The sequence below is a fragment of the Homo sapiens genome, chromosome 22, assembly GCF_000001405.40.
Source record: "Homo sapiens chromosome 22, GRCh38.p14 Primary Assembly".
Taxonomy (NCBI): Eukaryota; Metazoa; Chordata; class Mammalia; order Primates; family Hominidae; genus Homo; species Homo sapiens.
Genome location: NC_000022.11, coordinates 22,778,594 through 22,797,303, shown reverse-complemented (window position 1 = coordinate 22,797,303; position 18,710 = coordinate 22,778,594). Strand labels below are relative to the sequence as shown.

The 18,710-nt window shown below is 44.9% G+C and overlaps 1 pseudogene, 1 gene segment (V, D, J or C) and 1 further gene; 1 reads left to right on the top strand and 2 right to left on the bottom strand.

Moving 5' to 3' along the window:
* IGL (immunoglobulin lambda locus) overlaps positions 1 to 18,710 on the bottom strand; it is an 896,838-nt gene that overhangs the window by 125,610 nt on the left and 752,518 nt on the right.
* On the bottom strand, positions 4,301 to 4,771 carry IGLV2-11 (immunoglobulin lambda variable 2-11). The segment is given in 2 exon segments: positions 4,301 to 4,608; positions 4,726 to 4,771. Coding segments are annotated over 2 exon segments (354 nt in total).
* On the top strand, positions 11,071 to 11,636 carry LOC100420967 (chromosome 2 open reading frame 27B pseudogene; annotated as a pseudogene).

The window sequence follows — 18,710 nt, the reverse complement described above, 5'->3', positions numbered from 1 at the left end:
GTTTTATAGCTTCAGGTCTTATCCTTAGGTTTGTAATCCTTGTTGGGCTGATTTTTTATTTGGAGAGAGATGGGTCCAGTTTCATTGTTCTGCATGTGGATGTCCACTTTTCTCAGCACTGCCTGGAAGGAGAAATGTCCAGATATGCAATTTTATACTGATTCATAGGCTGTAGCCAATGGTTTGGTTGGATGATCAGGGACTTGGAAGAAGCATGATTGGAAAATTGATGACAAAGAAATTTGGGGAAGAGCTATGTGGATGGATCCCTCTGAGTGATCAAAAACTGTGAAGATATTTGTATCCCATGCGAGTGCTCACCAATGGGTGACCTCAGCAGAGAAGGAGTTTAATAATCAAGTAAATAGGATAATCAAGTAAATCAGTGATAGAATCTGCCAGGCTGATATAAAAATTATTAACCCAGGCTAATAAAAATTTGCATTCGCAGAAGTGAGACACCAGAAATGAGTGTGCAGAGGAAAGACCATGTGAGGACACAGCAAGGAGGCAGCAACCTGCAAGCCAAGGAGAGAGGCCTCAGGGGAAACCAAACCTATAAACACCTTTATCTTGGCTCTCCAGCTTCAGAACTGTGAGAAAATAAGTGTCTACTCTTAGGCCAGCAGGTCTTTGGCATCTGCGGGATTCCTCAAAGATCTGTTTGGGGAAAACATGTAACCTCCCAATACTAGTTTTCTAGTAAAGATCGGGCCTTGAGCATAGGGCTTTGCATCATCCTATTCCGTATTATGAAAGTCTTCTTGAGGTCCCGCTTGTAAAACAATAACCAATGCATCTGGCGTATATTAAGGGCTTATGCGTAGTCATTCTGAGTGATTTGGTGATTTATGGGAAATGGCATTCCTTCCATGCAGGGATGCAGGGATGTTCGCTGCACTGTTATTTAAGATCAAAGTTGTGGCAATAACCTTTAGAATGTAGTTGGCTAAAATCCTTCCATGCAAAGTGCACACCCAGTGGCACGGCTCAAAGTTCTGTCCACGGAGAAGATTTCCCTTCCCCGCTGTTCTTCAGGGATGTTCTAGAAAGGGGCTTTAGTGCTACAGCTGTCCACTTTCAGGTGGTGCCTGCATATCTTGCAGAACCATCTGTGATCCAGGCCCTAGTCTTCTCTTCCTCTGTCAGCTGATCATAGGGAACTCCCCATGAGGCCATCGGTGCAGGCTGGGGGAGAGAAAGCAGGGGGGAAGAGTGGAGACCATGGGCATTTGAGCCACTTCTTCATGTAATTTTCTTGTGCCTTCAGGGCCTACTCGAGCCTGATGATGTATATACCACTTCCATTTGATGATGGAATGCTGCTGTGCATGACCCATTTTATGGCTACATTGATCAGAAAGAACCCAGTTCATGACAGGCAGTTCAGGTCCCATGGTGACTTTATGACTCATAGTCAATGTTCAGTTACCACCAAAGCCCAGTAACAGGCCAACAGCTGTCTCTCAAAAGCAGAGTAGTTATCTGTAGAGGATGGCAGGGCCTTGCTCCAAAATCCTGGAGGACCGCACTGTGATTCACCTATGGGAGCTTGCCAAAGGCTCCAAACAGCATTGCTATCTGCCACTGACACCTCAAGCACCATTGGATCTGCTGGGTTATATGGCCCAAGTGGCAGAGCAGCTTGCACAGCAGCCTGGACCTGTTGTAGAGCTTTCTCTTCTTCTGGAACCCACTCAAAACTGGCAGCCTTTAGGGTCATTCAATAAATGGGCCAGAGTAACACAACCAAATGAGGAATGTGTTGCTTCCAAAATCCAAATAGGCCCACTAGGCGTTGCGCCTCTTTCTTGGTTGTAGGAGGAGCCAAATGCAGGAACGTATCCTTTACCTTAGAAGGAATATCTCAACAGGCCCCACACCACTTGGCCCGTAGAAATTTTACTGAGGTAGAAGGTCCCTGAATTTTAGTCAGATTTATTTCAAATTCTCTGGCATGCAAATGTCTCACCGATAAGTCCATTGTGTTTGTGAATTCTTGCTCACTGAATCCAATCCAATAATGTCATCAATGTAATGGACGAGTGTGCTATCTTGCAGAAGTGAAAAGTGATCAAGATCTCTTTGAATAAGATTATGACACAAAGGGCTGGGCATGGTGGCTCAGGTCTGTAATCCCAGCACTTTGGGAGGCAGAAGCGTTCAGATCACGAGGTCAAGAGATTGGGACCATCCTGGCCAACATGGTGAAACCCCGTCTCTACTAAAATTACAAAAATTAGCTGGGCGTGGTGGTGCGCGCGTGTAGCCCCAGCTACTGAGGAGGTTGAGGCAGGAGAATTGCTTGAATCCAGGAGGCAGAGGTTGCAGTGAGCTGAGATTGCACCACTGCACTCCAGCCTGGTGACAGAGCGAGACTCTGTCTCAAAAGAAAAAAAAAACAAGATTATGACACAAAGCTGGAGAGTTGATAAATCTCTGAGGTAGGACAGTAAAGGTATATTGCTGGCTTTGCCAGTTGAAGGCAAATTGCTTCTGGTGGGCCTAATGGACCGGAATGGAGAAAAAGGCATTTGCCAAGTCAATGGCTGCATACCAGCTACCAGGAGATGTGTTAATTTGATTGAGCAATGAAACCACATCTGGTACAGCAGCTGCAATTGAAGTCACCATTTGGTTAAGCTTATGATAATCCATTGTCACTCTCCAAGATCCATCTGTCTTCTGCACAGGCCAACTGGGAGAGTTGAACAGGGATGTGGTGCTGATCACCACCTCTGTGTCTTTCAAGTCCTTGATGGTGGCACTAATCTCTGCAATCCCTCCAGGGATATGACACTGTTTTTGATTTACTATTTTTCTAGGTAGGAGAAGCTCTACTGGCTTCCATTTCCCTTTCCCACCATAGTAGCCCTCACCCTGCCAGAACTGGCCTGACACCTGTTTTTGTGTGGCCCAGAGCTGACAGTGGTTTTTATCATTTTAAATGGTTACTTTATAAATGGTGCTGTAAGTACCTATGTAATATCCCCAAAGTTGATTCGTGGGCCACAAAGACTAAAATACTTCATTTTAAAATTTATGTTTATTTTCTTTAATGTAATAGAGATGAGGGTTCACTATGTTGCCCAGGCTAATCTCGAACTCCTGGGCTCAAGCAATTTACGTGTCTAAGCCTTCCAAACTGCTGGGATTACAGGCATGACCCACTGTGCCTTGCCACAAAGACTAAAATTCTTCTTATTTGGATATTCAAGAAAAAGTTTACCAAATACTAAAAAAATAAAGAGTACTGAACTATTTGTGAAAAGGCCCAACCTTAAGCAGAATGGGAGACTCAAAAATAAAACTGTAACAAGATAACATTTTTCAGTCTGGTAGGTTGGCAAAAATTTACACTTTCAACAATGTACTCTGAACAAATACTTATGGTTGGCATTGTAAGTTGGTAGAACCCCTCTGGAGGGGAATCTGACAACAATGGGTGAAAATTACAAACACACATCTTTCTGACCCGCAATTTCAGTTTTAGAAATGTATCCTATGGTCATATTCACACAGGAACTCAAAGGAGGCTGCATAGGGATGTTCACTGCACTGTTATTTAAGATCAAAGTTGTGGCGATAACTATTAGAATGTAGTTGCTAAAATTCTTTTTTTTTTTTTTTTTTTTGAGATGGAGTCTTGCTCTGTCACCCAGGCTGGAGTGCAGTGACGAATCTTGGCTCCCTGCAAGCTCCGCCTCCCGGGTTCATGCCATTCTCCTGCCTCAGCCTCCCAAGTAGCTGGGACTACAGGCGCCCGCCACCGTGCCCGGTTAATTTTTTGTATTTTTAATAGAGATGGGGTTTCACCGTATTAGCCAGGATGGTCTCGATCTCCTGACCTCATGATCTGCCAGCCTTGGCCTCCCAAAGTGCTGGGATTACAGGTGTGAGCCACTGCGCCCAGCCATATTTGGCTAAAATTCTACCCACAGTGTGGGAGATGGTGATGCATGTAGGGTGAAGACATCTCTGAAAAAAAAGCAGTGACTGCACCAATCAGGCAGCTGCTTGTCACTGTCCCTGCATTTGAAGAGCTGGGAAGAGCTGCACATTCAGGGACCACAGCACACAAGCACCAGGAAGCTGTCCCTGTCCGGGATGAGAAACCACAGGGCAGGTTTCCTGTTGGATTTCATGGTGGGAAAGGAGAGGAGCTGAGAGAGAAGAATTCTCAAGGCCGTGCTGCAGGAAGCCCCTTGCACAGGGTGAGGAAGCATCTTCAGAGCAAAAGGGAGCCTGAGAGCCCAGGGTGGGTTTTGGTCTCAGTTCCCCAGGAACTTGGACCACTGTGGAAAGTGTAGCTGCCTGCATATGAGCAGCAGTAATAATCAGCCTCATCCTCAGCCTGGAGCCCAGAGATGGTCAGGGAGGCCGTGTTGCCAGACTTGGAGCCAGAGAAGCGATCAGGGACCCCTGAGGGCCGCTTACTGACATCATAAATCATGAGTTTGGGGGCTTTGCCTGGGTGCTGTTGGTACCAGGAGACATAGTTATAACCACCAACATCACTGCTGGTTCCAGTGCAGGAGATGGTGACTGACTGTCCAGGAGACCCGGACACTGAGCGAGGCTGAGTCAGGGCAGACTGAGCCCAGGATCCTGGAAAGAGGGAGAAACACACTCTAGTGAGTCAGTGCTGGGCCCAGGTGAGCCTGAGGAGCAGGAGACCAAGGATCAGCCCAGAGACCCCTGTGACCCTTTCCCTGGAGGTGTCACCTGTGCCCTGAGTGAGGAGGCTGAGGAGGAGCAGAGCCCAGGCCATGGTGGAGACGTCCCGAGAGTGCTGCCTCCTGAGACCCCAGCACTGGGCCTGCCCCCAGCCCTGTCTTATCCCCTCTGCCTCAGAGGAGGGTGGGGCCTCCATGCAAATCTCCACCCTGAGCTCCTCTCCTCACCCCACCCTCACCTGGGCTGGGCTCAGAGACTTCTGCTTCCCTGGACAGTGGGGCTCAGCTGAGGAGATAAAAAGTTCTTGTTTGTCTTTTCTGATGGCAGGATCTTAATTTTTTTGTACCTGATTTGCTCAGGAGAGAAAGTTCTGCTGAAATCCCTTACCTGAGTGAGCTTCTGGTCCTCAGTGACTCTGCTGTGTGGTGCCTGTGTCTTTGTGACCCTCCAGGCCTGGGCACACCCTGCAGTGCCCTCTGCTTGGCACCCACCTCCAGGCTGTCTCTACTGCCAGGAAATGGGGCTGCCCACCCCGTGGAAACCTCTGCTGGGTGGCATTGGTCCCTGGTCTCCCCAGCTGCAGCCTCATCCCATCCCCACCCCCAAGCTTTGTGCTGAAGCATCTGCACCATCGAATCCCTGGAGCACATCAGCCACCCCAGGCAGTGCACCCACATCCACACGGGCACATGTGGGAGGGATCCTGTGGAGGGAACACAGAGCACCGACCAGGGCCGCAGTCCTGAGCCCGAGTCCACTGCTCCCAATCCTGCCCCTCCCACTCACAAGCAGGTGACTTGTCCTTCCCAGCCTCTAGTTCTCAGCCTGAGAAATGGGGACTACAGTGTCCACTCTGCACACAGGTGATCCATGGGGATATGAGCCAGCAGGACAAAGGGAAAGTTTGCTAATAGGCCTTTCTGTGTGCACCAGAGTGACGTTTATTTTGAATGTTTCATTTATTGAAAGATTTATTTCCATTTTACTGTGATTTATGTGTCAGGTCACAGAGCCGCGTGTTTCCTGCTTTCTTGCTTTTCCTCATCTGAGCACATCCAACCTAAAGCTGACCTCTCTCAACCCTGCAACACTGAAGACACACAGACATTCGATAAATACATTTTTTCAAAATACTTTTAATCTCTTTTCATCTTTCCCTATAGCCTATAACAAAATTCTTTTAATGTTTCATATTAAAATAAATATTAATGGAATCAGCTTCCATTTAAATATTATAACATACACTGTCCTGTCTTCCCACCTAGATTCATCTCTGAAACCATGACAGGTGAATGGAGCAGCTATTTGAGCACCAGGAAAGGAAATGGTACACAGCAGTTTGGGATGGCCCCAGCAGATGAAATATAACAGAGTCAGTGTGAGACTCCTGGATTTCCTCACTGTCCTCTGGCTGGGACTCCAGACAGCCCCAAACCTGAAGGGGCACAAATCTGAAAACAAAAAGAAGTCCAGAAAGCCCTCTTGTTCAGGATTGAAGATAGGAAAAGAAACTTCTTTGGCTCAAAGTGAAGGCTCAGTCCCCTGCACAAGCAGGTGGTTCACACCTGTGTTCTCATCTCTCATACCAGCGCCTCTCCCTGGGTTCACACTGATGTCCTATGGATGGAGACGGGGTTTCCTGCACCAGGTCACTCCACAGCCCCTGTAACCTGAAGCCCTGCAGACCAGCCTTGTTCAATCACAATATGATGTGAGCCTCATGGGAATCCCACTGTCTAGTCATCGCATTATAAATACAAAGAGAAGAAGTCAATGAGTTTAAATAATATATTTTATTTACCTAGCATATCAAAAAGTATCATTTTCATATATAATCTAGGTACAATTATTTATGATATATATCATATACTTTGCATAGCTAGTGTTATTATTTTTTGAAGAATCTTGGAGATTGTGTGGCTGATGGAGATGTGAATGGGTTTCCTGTTGACAAGGGTGGGGTGTGGTGGCTTTTTAAGTGTCAACTTTGATAGGCTGAAGGAGGGGTGGAAAGAATGATTTTTTCTACAGGGCATGGAGGGTGGAGGTGGGCAGTGTCCATCCTGCAGCTCACCCTGTGGGCAGTGTCCATCCTGCAGCTCACCCTGTGGGTGCATCTGTGGTCCCTGCATGGGGTGAGGCTTCTCCTCCTGTCCCGGGTTTCCCTGCAGGGAGATCTGACTCCAACTCTCCCTCAGACCCAGAGCACCTGGCAAGTCAGGCTCCCTTTCCATTCCATACAAATGCAAGAAACACTCAGATCTCATTGGGCATTTGGATACTCACAGTGCTAATTTAGGAATAAATGGGCGCTTTCCAGTGTGCAGTGGCCTCCTGAGGTTCCGCATGGCCCATGTTGGGGATGGCTGGTGATCTTAATTTGGGTTCCCTGGAAGCAGACTCTGAGATGAGGAATTCATGCACAGAGGATGTGAGGGAGGCAACACTGGGCGGAAAGAGACCCTGACGCACATTGAGGTCTCAGTCTTTCCTACAGGGAGCTGTGGAGCTGGGAGGATTTTCATTTCCTCCTATATTGAGGCAGAGTCTTGAGAACTTGGCCTCAGGCAGTCATGAAACCTAATCTTGCTGAGGAAGGGCATAAACCTGGAGGAGGCAGTTTTCTGCGCTGAGCCACACTTCCCAGGAAAGGCACAGCTCTCAGCTGCCACAAGCTCCCAGCAGTGCTGGGTGGGTGAGCTCAGAAGAAAGAATCTGGGCAGATCCTACAGTGTCCACTCCACTGGTTTTTCTGTAGAGAATGACTTGAGCCTGAGCTGGGCAGTTCTGGGGACTGATCCAGGATATTCAGGCCAAGGACTGGCTTGTCATGACCAATGGAAATCCAGAGCCCAGCTGATGGATGTCTACCTCAGTCTGATGATTCAATCAGGCCCCATTTCCCTAAGTCACAGCTGAGTCCTCAAACCCCAATACATCCTGGTCACCTAAGTCTAAATCCACTCTTGACGCCCCCTCTTCAGAGCCTGCCTGGAGGGCTGGAGGGACTCAGATCCAGGGGGTCTCAGACCCAGGTGAACTGGGCCAGCCCAGTTCATGAATTTGTCCACAGTCTTCCTGGCTGGAGGAAATGTCCCATCCTGGTCATTTCATCTAAATGATGGATTGTGTCATTAGGACACTAGTTAACTATTTCAGTGAGAATAGTTGAGTCATTTAAGGAACCACTCACCCATGTGGAGTCATCAGGACGTCTGGTCTCATTTCACCCATGGGGCTGATACTTCTAGGCCATCCCCATCCCCACAGTAGACCAGCCATTGCCATCCTCAGCTCTGCCATTGTTTATTTTTCCAATCAATATTTTATGTAAACTTGTAAAAAGCAGCAAAATAGCACCAGAGTTCTCAGCCCAGTGTGGTTTTCTTGTGCTTTTTGCAAGTTTACATGAAATATTGATGGGAAATTCAACTTTAAGCCCCATGGTCGCTGTAAGCATCCCAGGGACACAGCCTTTGGACAGGGTGTGGGGTCTGCAGGGTGGGTGGTCCTTGGTTCCTGCAATGAGGTGTATCCTGTCCCTGAGCCAAGGACAGCCTCGTGGCCAGAGCTCTGGCCTGAGGCAGGTGAGAATCCCCTTCCCTGTGGAGAGCATCTCCTCAAGGAGGCTGGAAATGCCACATCCTGGAGCCAGGGTCCTGAGTGCACCACCCCACCCACGTGAGACTCCCCTGAGCACAGGAGCTGCCCCCTGAGTCACAGTATGCCTGGAGCTGGAAGGAAAGGCAGAGGGAGAAGGGGTGGCGGGGGGAGGTCTCTGGAAGTGCCCAGGACTGAGGGCTCAGCTCCCCAGAATGCTGCTGATCAGAGAGGGACAAGACCATGAGAGTGGCAGGAGGCTCAGGCAGCAATACTAGGTGAAGGGCTTGGGCCCTGGAAACCCTGTCCTCTCACACTGTGGCCCCCTCCTAGAGCACCTTGACCTCGGGGCGTCTCCCAGGGAATCCCAGCCCTGTGGAAGCTCCCCAGGCTGACACCGGGGCCCAGGCGCCTCCAGCTGCATTTCCCAGGTGAGGCTCTCACTGTCCCTGGGCTCCTGTCAGTGCCCTGAGTGACGCTGCATGAGTCTTACAGTCAGGACGGAGTTACTGCAGCCCGAGGGGATAGGATGCACTTTACTGGACTTCCAAATTGAGGACTGATCCTTGGACACCTTTTGAGCCTTCATGGCTGGCCTCCCTCTTAGGCTCCTTCTGGGCAGCCTCAGCCTCTCTTCTGTCTGCAGCTGTGCTGCCCCCTGCTGGTGGAGAAGACAGAGCCCAGGAGCTTCCCTCCTCCAAGTGACCCCAGAACGCCTGTCACCTGCGAGGGTAAGGACTGTTGAGTCCAGCCTCAGTCTGTGCCATATGTGAACCCCTCAGGCTCAGCACAGAGAGGTGGCATATATGGTTGCAGGGAGGTGGGGCAGACGCAATTCTTATAATTGAGTCTCAGGTTGAAATGCTCTTCTCTGTTCCATGGTTTTTGATCACAGAACGGAGAATGCAGGATAAACTGTAGCTCTTCTGTGAAAAACATAAGTTCAGAGAAATGCGGTCATATCCGCGTGCACTCCTGCTTCCCGTGTGTATTGAAAACAAGATTTTTTTTCTCACCTCAGTAAGAACAGCTGCACTGTAATTGGGAGCACCTGATGTTTCTGCCACTAAACTTCAGTTGTGTATTTGAACCATCATCACATTCATCGTCATTGTGTTTTTTTCTATTACTCATAAGAACAAGAAGATTAAGGTAGGAAATTATGACCATAACTAGGTGGGACCTTTCAGTGTTCAAACCACAAACAAGAAACTCAATAGCATTTCCTGCAACTGTTATTTTATTAGTATTGTTTTATTTTTCATTATAACCTTAAATATTTATCAAAAAGTTAACATTTCAGTGATTAAAATTAAGATACTTTTCTTTTACAAGGTTTTGATCATTTTTACGTATTTGATTTGGAACTCTGCTTCTTATTGCTAGAAGGCCTTTCCTTCTCCATAGGAATAATCAAAATTAGTTTTAATCAACATTAGGCCCCTGTTGGATCACAGGCCCTAAGTGGATTCCCAGGCCCCAGGTGCACATCAGGCACAGGTGTACAAGCAGACACTGGGTGGACTTACCTGTGTACAGGTAAGGAGCTGACCTGGGGGGAGGGTGAGCAGCCAGCAGCCCAGGGGGTTCTGAGTAGGTTTTGAAGGAAGGAGCCGAGGGTACGGAACCTTAAAGAAGTGACTTCACTTCCTTGGTGATGGACTCTAACAGAACTTAGAACTCTGGTAATCAGGCACCCACATCCTAGGGACAGACCCGCAGCCAGCTCCCTTGGTGGGAGATGCTCAGGAGAGCAAGATGTTCTCATGCTGCATTCCCACATCTCGAGTCTCCTGCTTCAGGAGGGCCCAGAGCGAGAGCCTTTTCCCACAATGCTGACGCAGGCTCATCTATTGGGATTCACTCAGGATGGTGGCAGAAATATTAAAGGGAAATATTAGGGAAAGTTACAGGGAATAGTCACAAACCTTTTGGAAGGCGGAAAGGTTACATAGCTTGTAATAATTGAACAGGCTGAAGGCAGCTGCTTCTTATCTTAGAGCATTAGCTCATAGGGTAAATGTTAGGGACAATAGAGGCTTCCCCAGTTAAGTCTGTTTACCCTACTTCCATTAACTAGCCTTTGAGCCAGATAGTCCTCTTGGGGAGGAGGGGGGAGGTAGACCCGGGAAATTGCCCCCAGTGGTATTTACTTTAAACCATGGTACCTGAGCTTTAATCATTGGTAGAACTACTCTCTTAACCATGTTAATTATCCACAAGAGTATTTACTCAAAGCTTCCGTTGTAAATTCTATACTAAATAAATGCCTGCAGTGCGAGCTATTCACGGCCAGCTGCAGTGACAAACCTCTCTTGGTGTGCAGGCAGTGGGACACTCAGCAGGACTGGCAAAGCAGAATAACTCTGTGTCAGTGTACGTTTTATTCATCCGTCATTTGGGTCAGGGTCTGTGGGCGGATCCCCGCAGCTAATGCCCTCTTGTGAGGGGCAATACCTCACTCATCTCTCACTCCAGGCGCCTCTGGCCATTTGGGCAAAGGCGCCCCCAAGTACCACAGGGCAGCCCAGGGCAGGCCCTACCAGGCCAGGCCCCACCGGTGATCCCATCGCGGCCACATCTGCACATTGTTCTTGTCCAGCTGGAGCCTCTGGAGTTCATCGAGGCACAGGCACACGGTGAGGTGGCCTATAGTCTATGAGCCTTTGCAGGGGCAGTGTTTTCGGGCTGGAATACCTTACATTCAGCGAGGTTGATTCTGTGTGTGAAAATTCCAGTGGAAAGTGACTGACGTTGGTGAGTCTTTCTTCTTTTTCATCTCCTGTTCCATGTGCAGCAACACAGGAAATTCCAGCGCCAGCTGATGAGCCAGTGCCAGCACCAGGGGAAGACCCCCCTTCAGGGACAGAACTGGAGCTATCAGCAGCTCCAGATCCCTCCTGCCCCTGTCCTGGTCCTGCCAAGGACCAGCCCAGTGAGGAGCTACCTGACATCATGAGATCTGCTCTAGCCACTGGCCTCAGCCCTGGAGCTGAAAGCATGGCTGGAGCAAGAGGTGGAAGAGAGGGGGTGGCCAGCACGGCCCCAGCCCGCATCTCCCACGCTGGGCTCAGTCCTGGGCACAGTGGGAGACATGGAGGTAGAGACCCGGGTATATGGCCTGCGCTCCTCTGACTCGCCAGAGAGAGGCTTCTCTCATTCAGCAGAGCTGCAGCCCTGCGGCTGAAGGGCCTGCTGCTGCTCCTGCTGGGGTTGTTTGCCTGCCTGCAAGAGGCGCTGGGGGGCAGGAAAAGAAACCTGGGAGGAGGGGATCCAGCAGCTCCTCCTGCTCCCAGAGGCGGCTTCTTCCTCCAACCTTGGAGGTCTGCCCTCAACTGGGCTTCTGGGCTGTTTGTCCCTGAGGTGCTGCCCAGGACAGGCTCTTCTTGACAGGTGGGCAGGGGTGTGGAGGCCAGGGGGCATCTCCAAAGGGTATCAAAACCGAAGCTTCAAAACTCAGCACTTGTGCCCCCAAATCGCCATGCCATGCCACCACCTGCCCTAGAATTCATCCATAGTGTTAAAATTACAAGTTTCTACAATAACATTTAAATAAAGTTTGACTTTTTGAAAGTTCGTGCCTTCTTTAACTCCCTAATGTTGTCAGATGTTGTTTTAGAGGCTATTCTGAAAATGTCTGATAGTTGTGTATCTTTGCCGTGGTTGTTTGTGTGATTGAATTACCATCTAATCAACTGTTACTGGAAACCTTTCAGGTACGGCTTTTAGAAGACCTTGACCTACTTTTGCTTGTTTTTACTCTCTGGTTTATTGTGGAAAGAGGGATCATGTCAGTCCATTCCTCCAGCAGATCAATCACCTGTTGCCATCAAAGATTTGGCATCAGAATTTCAAAAATTACGTGTACAAGTTGATATGTTGGTACTGTAGCCAATCTGGGTGCCAAAAGATAATGCACTGCACTAGGTAGCAGAGAAACAAATTCATTTCTCATGCTTCTGGAGATGGTAAAATCCAAGGTCAACTCGTCAGCAGGTTTCGTGTCTGATGAGGGCTTCCTTCCTTGTTCATAGACTGCCATCTTTTTACTGTGTCCTCACATGACAGAAGAGATGAGGGAGCTCTCAGCAGTCCCTTTGATAGGGACACTGATCCCATTCATACAGTCTCTGCTTTCATGATCTAATCACCTTCCAAGGCCTCACCTCCAAATCCCATCATATGGGGAATTAGATTTTAACACATGAATTTGAGGGGACCATAAGATTTGGTCTATAGCATCAGGTCACTCTGAGCCCTTTGCACTCACAAGAAATCTCTAATCTTCTATAAGTATTTGCTGGTCCCTGCTGGGTTTAGGGAAATCTTTAATTGCAGCTCTGATTCAGCTCTGTCCAAGCTTAAATTCTACATTTGCCCACAAATCTTGTTCATGGGACAGAGGGACTTTAGTGGCAACTGACCATTTGGAGTTTTAGGAGAATCAATGGAGAAGGGCTTGGGATCTGGATGAGCAGAAGTGGAGGGAGGAGAGGAGGAAGGTACAGAAGGAGAGAGAGCAGAATGTGAAAAGGGAAGAGGACCTCTAGATAACAAGAGAGCAACTCTGGTCAACTAGGTAATTCTGGCCAACTAGAGGGCAAGGAGGGTAATTTTCCTTGGATTCTAAACTCAGATCCCATATCACATCAGCACCACGTGAGGAATACATTTTTTCAATGCATATTCCTGGGTTCTGGAAATTTTCATTTCATAAATCTGGAGTTATGCTAATTCATCTGTATTTATCATAAGAATTTTGGATAATTCTGATAAAATTAGACAACAAAGCAGAGCTTGACAACCACTCGTTTGGGATGTGTATCTGGAAGACATTTGATTATATGAAATAATCACAGAAAACTGAGGAGGAATCGTTTATTTAAAAATGCTTGCATATAATTCAGTTCTTCCTATATGTGTAGTTTGACCACATAGTTGGTCTCTACAATACCAAGATAGTAAATATGTAGAAAGTCTTTTAAAAATCAAGTAGACAGAAGAAAGGAGTTGGATAGAAAAGCAAACTGACAATAGTCTGGTAAGAAGAGAAGAGAAGGGGGAGGAAGTAGCGTGTTTTTGTACATTATTTGATGACATCTAAATTATAAGCTCAAAGGGTGTTTGTAAGAAAGTCAATAATACAAGTTTTCAGAACGTAGAGAATGTAGTGGCAACACTGATTTGCTGGGAAAGAGAAGTGTACTCTGTCTTGCTGCGTTTTGTTGAACAGGCTAAGAAAAAGGGTCATTGTTTAAAGAGTGTTTGTTTTATTGGTGCTGAATTATTTTACCTCATACCTAGTTGAAAATAAAAGGGCTATAAAGTGCTTAGGTTGAACACAAAGTCCTCTGCTATCAGTAACATCTTAAGGAGCTGCATTGGAGGAGGGACAAGGGGCAATGGTGGAGTGGATGGCTCTTTGCTTATGTATTAAACCAAATAAGGTGGCATATATTTTATTAAGAAATCTGTTAAAATGAAATAAAACTCAGGTTCGTGTTCTTAATAGGCACACTGTTTGCTATGGCAGCAAGAGCAAAAGCCTTAGGTACCAAAAATGTACGTTAACTGCAAACATTTTCATATAAACAAAACAATGTGAGAATCTTTATATGACAGTAACTCCTATGCCCAAAATATTTTTAACTGAGATTGAAATCATTTTCTACATAACAAATGTTATCACTGTATTCGGAGATGATATATTATTTATATATGGATACTATAACTTATTTAAGTTATTCATTATTTATTCAACAAATAATTCTGTGGAATGTACAAAACACTGGTTTTGGCACTGAACGTAGAATTGATATAAAATATAATATTTTTTCTAAGTGGCTGATTAAAAATACAAAACATTTGTTAAATAGAGGTTGTACTACTGAAAACAGGCGGAGACTGACTTGCTAATAAAAAAGTCAGGAAACCCAGTGGGATTATTTTTAATAATAATCAATATTTTAATACAGAGCTCTTGTTTTTTCTCATGGAAATATATTACAATATGGATTTTCTGCTGTTTGGTATCTGAATATTTAAGTATAACAGGTATGGTGAGTTTTCCAAAGATATTTTACCAGCTTACCTGCCCATCAGTGACTCGTAAGCTATCACGTGGAATCACATCCTCTCCAACAACCTCTAGTACACACTTTACAAGTGTGTCCATTAAATGTGTGTTGGTTTTGCAGGTGATTATTTTGTTATCGAAAGATAATAGGATACCTAGCTTTAAAAAGCGAGGCATGCAGAGGCACATGTTTAGAGTGTGTCCGGACCCCGGAATTAAAACTAATCCAATTTGTGCCTCCCCTGTTCAATAAAAAGTTTCCTTAAGAACCCAGAGATCAGGCATTCCTTTGAGAAACCACTCCAATATGGTTTCTCACCTACTCATTCCAAGAAAATTGCTCTTATCAAAGCACAAATGGTATCCATATTGTTAAATGATGAATTGAAGCGTAATTCCTCAGCCTTTGCTTAATTTATGTATTAGCAGCATTTAATGCAGTTGATCTCTCCCTCTTTTTTTTCAAAACTTTCTTTGATAGAATTCTAGAACACTTAACCTACTTTCCTCTTGACATTTTTGATAATTATACCTAGTACTTTTTGCTGGTTTCTTCTCATCTTTGCTAATTTTCTTTTTCTTTTCTTTTCTTTTCTTTTCTTTTTTTTTTTTGTTTGAGACCAAGTTTTGCTCTGGTTGCCCAGGCTGGAGAGCAATGATTCGATCTCGACTCACTGCAACCTCCACCTCCTGGGTTCAAGCAATTCTCTTGCCTCAGCCTCCTGAGTATTACAGGCATGCGCCACCATGCCTGGCTAATTTTGTATTTTTAGTAGAGACGAGGTGTCTCCATGTTGGTCAGGCTGGCCTTGAACTCCCAACCCCAGGTGATCTGCCCAACTTGGCCTCCCAAAGTGCTGGAATTACAGGCCTGAGCCACCATGCCCAGCCTACTACTTTTTAGGCAGTAGATAACCACTAGGCTCGGGACTTTTATCTTTCTTATCTTTGCTTTCTTACTAATTTTTGTGTCATTCATTTCCTGATATTTTATATGATACCATAACACTAGACTACACACAATACTGTCTGTCTTCTCCACTTGGATGTGGTTTAGGAATCTCAAAATTAATAAGTCTACGTGGAGCCACTGACACTCCCCAAAACTGCTCTTCCCCATTCTGTTTAATGGCACCTCCCATTTTATAGTTTCTCAGCTCAATATTCTTGGTGTCCCCATTTAATTCTCTCTGTCTCTGCAGCTCTGTCATTGTCTGTCTGTATCTGTCTTGTTCTAATTCTCTCTCTTTCTCTCTCTCTATCACACACACACACACGCACACACAGATTTTCAGATCTGACATGTATGAAAATCCTGCCAGCTTTACCTTTAAAGTGAACTCATTCCAAATGGTATTTGCAAATTCACCTTCCCACCCTCACCACTTGGTGACTATAGTACTTCCCTCCCAAGGCCAAAGCTCTACTGCAGAGATTTCTTGAGGAAATAATGAGAACTACTATACATTCTTATTTCAGGGGCCCTCAAAATACAGGCTAGCCATATTCTGTATGAATTTAAGCTCCTATCATCGCCCTATTTTTCAATCCAGTCTCCACACAGCAAGCACAGGAAGCAATTAGAATTCCAAGCCATATCACAACACTCCTGTTTTAAAGTCCCTGATTAATTACTTCTTTTTTCCTCATTAGAATTTAAGTTTAACGAAGCTGGGCAACTTTGTATACTTTACCACTGACCTATCTTCAGAGCTGGAGGTCAGTTGGTGCAAGGTAAATGATCAGTAAATATTTTCAAACAGCAGAATCAATTATAAATAGTTTTATTTCTTTGAGTATACATTTAGACTTAAAAATGAAGAAAATAGATTGGTCAAAGAATTCTGTTTTGATATTATTATCCATTGATTAGATTATCTAAGTATAAATTTCACTGTGGGAAGCTGTAAGCATTTTCTAAATTTTAAAATAAAAGGCAAGGAATTTAAGTGTCTGCTCCTTTTATTTAAGGAATAAAAAGAGACAAGCTTATTTTTTTATTTTTTATTTTTTGATAGAGTCTCACTCTATTGCCAGGCTGGAGTGCAGTGGTGCGATCTCGGCTCACTGCAGCCTCCGCCTCCTGGGTTCAAGCGATTCTCCTGCTTCACCCTCCCCAGTAGCTGGGATTACAGGTGCCCGCCACCATGCCCAGCTAATTTTTGTATTTTTAGTGGAGACGGGGTTTCACCATGTTGGCCAGGATGGTCTCGATCTCCTGACCTCATGATCCGCGCCCCCCTCGGCCTCCCAAAGTGCTGGGATTACAGGCGTGAGCCACCGCGCCCAGCCAAGCTGATCTTTTAAAATACATTTTATATATGTATACAATCTAAATTTAATTTTCTCTCTTTATCCCTGAATATTTTTTAAAGGTATTCATGTCCTCACTTTTAAAATCCACTTCAATGACAACATCTTAAAAGATATTTGCAGCCGGGCACGGTGGCTCACGCCTGTAATCCCAGCACTTTGGGAGGCCGAGGCGGGTGGATCACGAGGTCAGGAGATCGAGACCATCCTGGCCAACACGGTGAAACCCTGTTTCTACTAAAAATACAAAAAATTAGCTGGGCGTGGTGGTGGGCTCCAGCCGGGGCGACAGAGCGAGACTCCGTCTCAAAAAAAAAAAAAAAAAAAAAAAGATATTTGCAACTTCCTTAAGAATATCTTGGTGTTCCACTGAACAGCTTGCCAAATAATACATTAGCAATACAACTTCCTCATAATGCTTATTTGTTTGATTAAATTTATAAATTTCCTACTCTCAACTCGTAATTTCTTTCAAATATAATACATTCTACTTGACCTTTGTGAGGTTTTCATACCATATATTTATTATTGAAATGGTTTTGATATCCGAATCAGAAGTTTATAATTGTATTTAGACTGTTCTGTAGATTTTTTTTTTTGTTTTGGTTCTGTTGCTTATTGATTACGAAGTGTCTCTGCTACTGAAAAGCTTGAAATATTTTTTCTTTTTTTCTTTCTTTCCCCGTCGTTCCTTCCTTTTTCTGTCCCTTTCTTTTCTCCTTCTTTTTTTCCTTCCTTCCTTCTTTCTTTTTCTTTCTCTTTCTTCTTTCTTTCTTTCTTTCTTTCTTTCTTTCTTTCTTTCTTTCTTTCTTTCCTTCTTTCTTTGTCTTTCTTTCTCTCTTTGTCTCTTTCTCTCTCTCTCTCCCCTTCCCTCTTCCTCCTCCACCCCTCCCCCTCCACCTCTGTCTTCCTCTTCCCCTTCCCCTTTCCCTTCCCTCTTCCCTTCCCTTCTCTCCTTCTTTTTCTTTCTTTCAACAGATTTTGCTCTGTTGACCAGGCTGGAATGCAGTAGTGCTAACAGCTCGCTTAAATTATTTTTTAAGCAGATATTTATCTAACTTACGTTAACCAAATTTCTTTTCAATGTAACCAACATTTCTTTTAAGTGAACAATTAAATATTTACCATGTTTTAGCCTCAACAGTTTACCTTCTGTAGCCTCAACTTCTCCGGCTCCAGCAATCCTCCCATCTTAGCCTCTCGAGTAGCTGGGATTGTGGGTGGTGCCACCATGCCTGGCCAATTTTTGAAATTTTTTGTAGAGATGGGGTTTCGCCATATTGCACAGGCTGGTCTTGAGCTCAGGTGATCTTCCCACCTTGGCCTCCCAAAGTGCAGGGATTCTAGGCATGAGCCACCATGCCCAGGCAAAAGGTTGAAACATTTTCTAAATTTAAAAACAAAGTGCATGACATTTAAATACCTATTCCTTAAAATTTGGAAGACATGTTAACACCATATAAACCCAGAGCATGTATTTTTAGATTAGTAATGTGTAGATAGTTTCCATTTCTTCTAAAAGTAAAACAATACATATTTTGTATTAAGATAATTTTTGATAAAAGAAGGTAAATAATTTTTCACATAAAAGAAATGTGATTACTTTGAAAAGAAATTTGATTAAGGTAAGTTATATGAATTTCTGTTTAAAAAATAATTTAAGAAAAATAATCCCAAAAAGCAGCGGTCATGGCATTTATGAGAGAGAGAGGAAATTTATCTTGTTCTTTCTGTGATAACAAATGTGTATGGATCATGATTTTTCTATAGGGACATAGATTAAAAGATAGCATAAAATTTTATTTTAAAAACAAAGACAACTTTTTGGTACATGTATTAAATGTAAGAACAAACAGCATAAAAAATGAAATTATGCTCATTTTTGGGGTATATTATGGGATACAAACAAGTGGAGAGAGCAGTTTGACAAATAAAATTCTCATCCTGGCTTGGTGTAGGCAGAACCTCACAGTCTGAGAACAACCCCAGTATGTGATATTGTTATGGCATGGCCCCTCCGTATAAAAACTGCTCTCATTCAGTG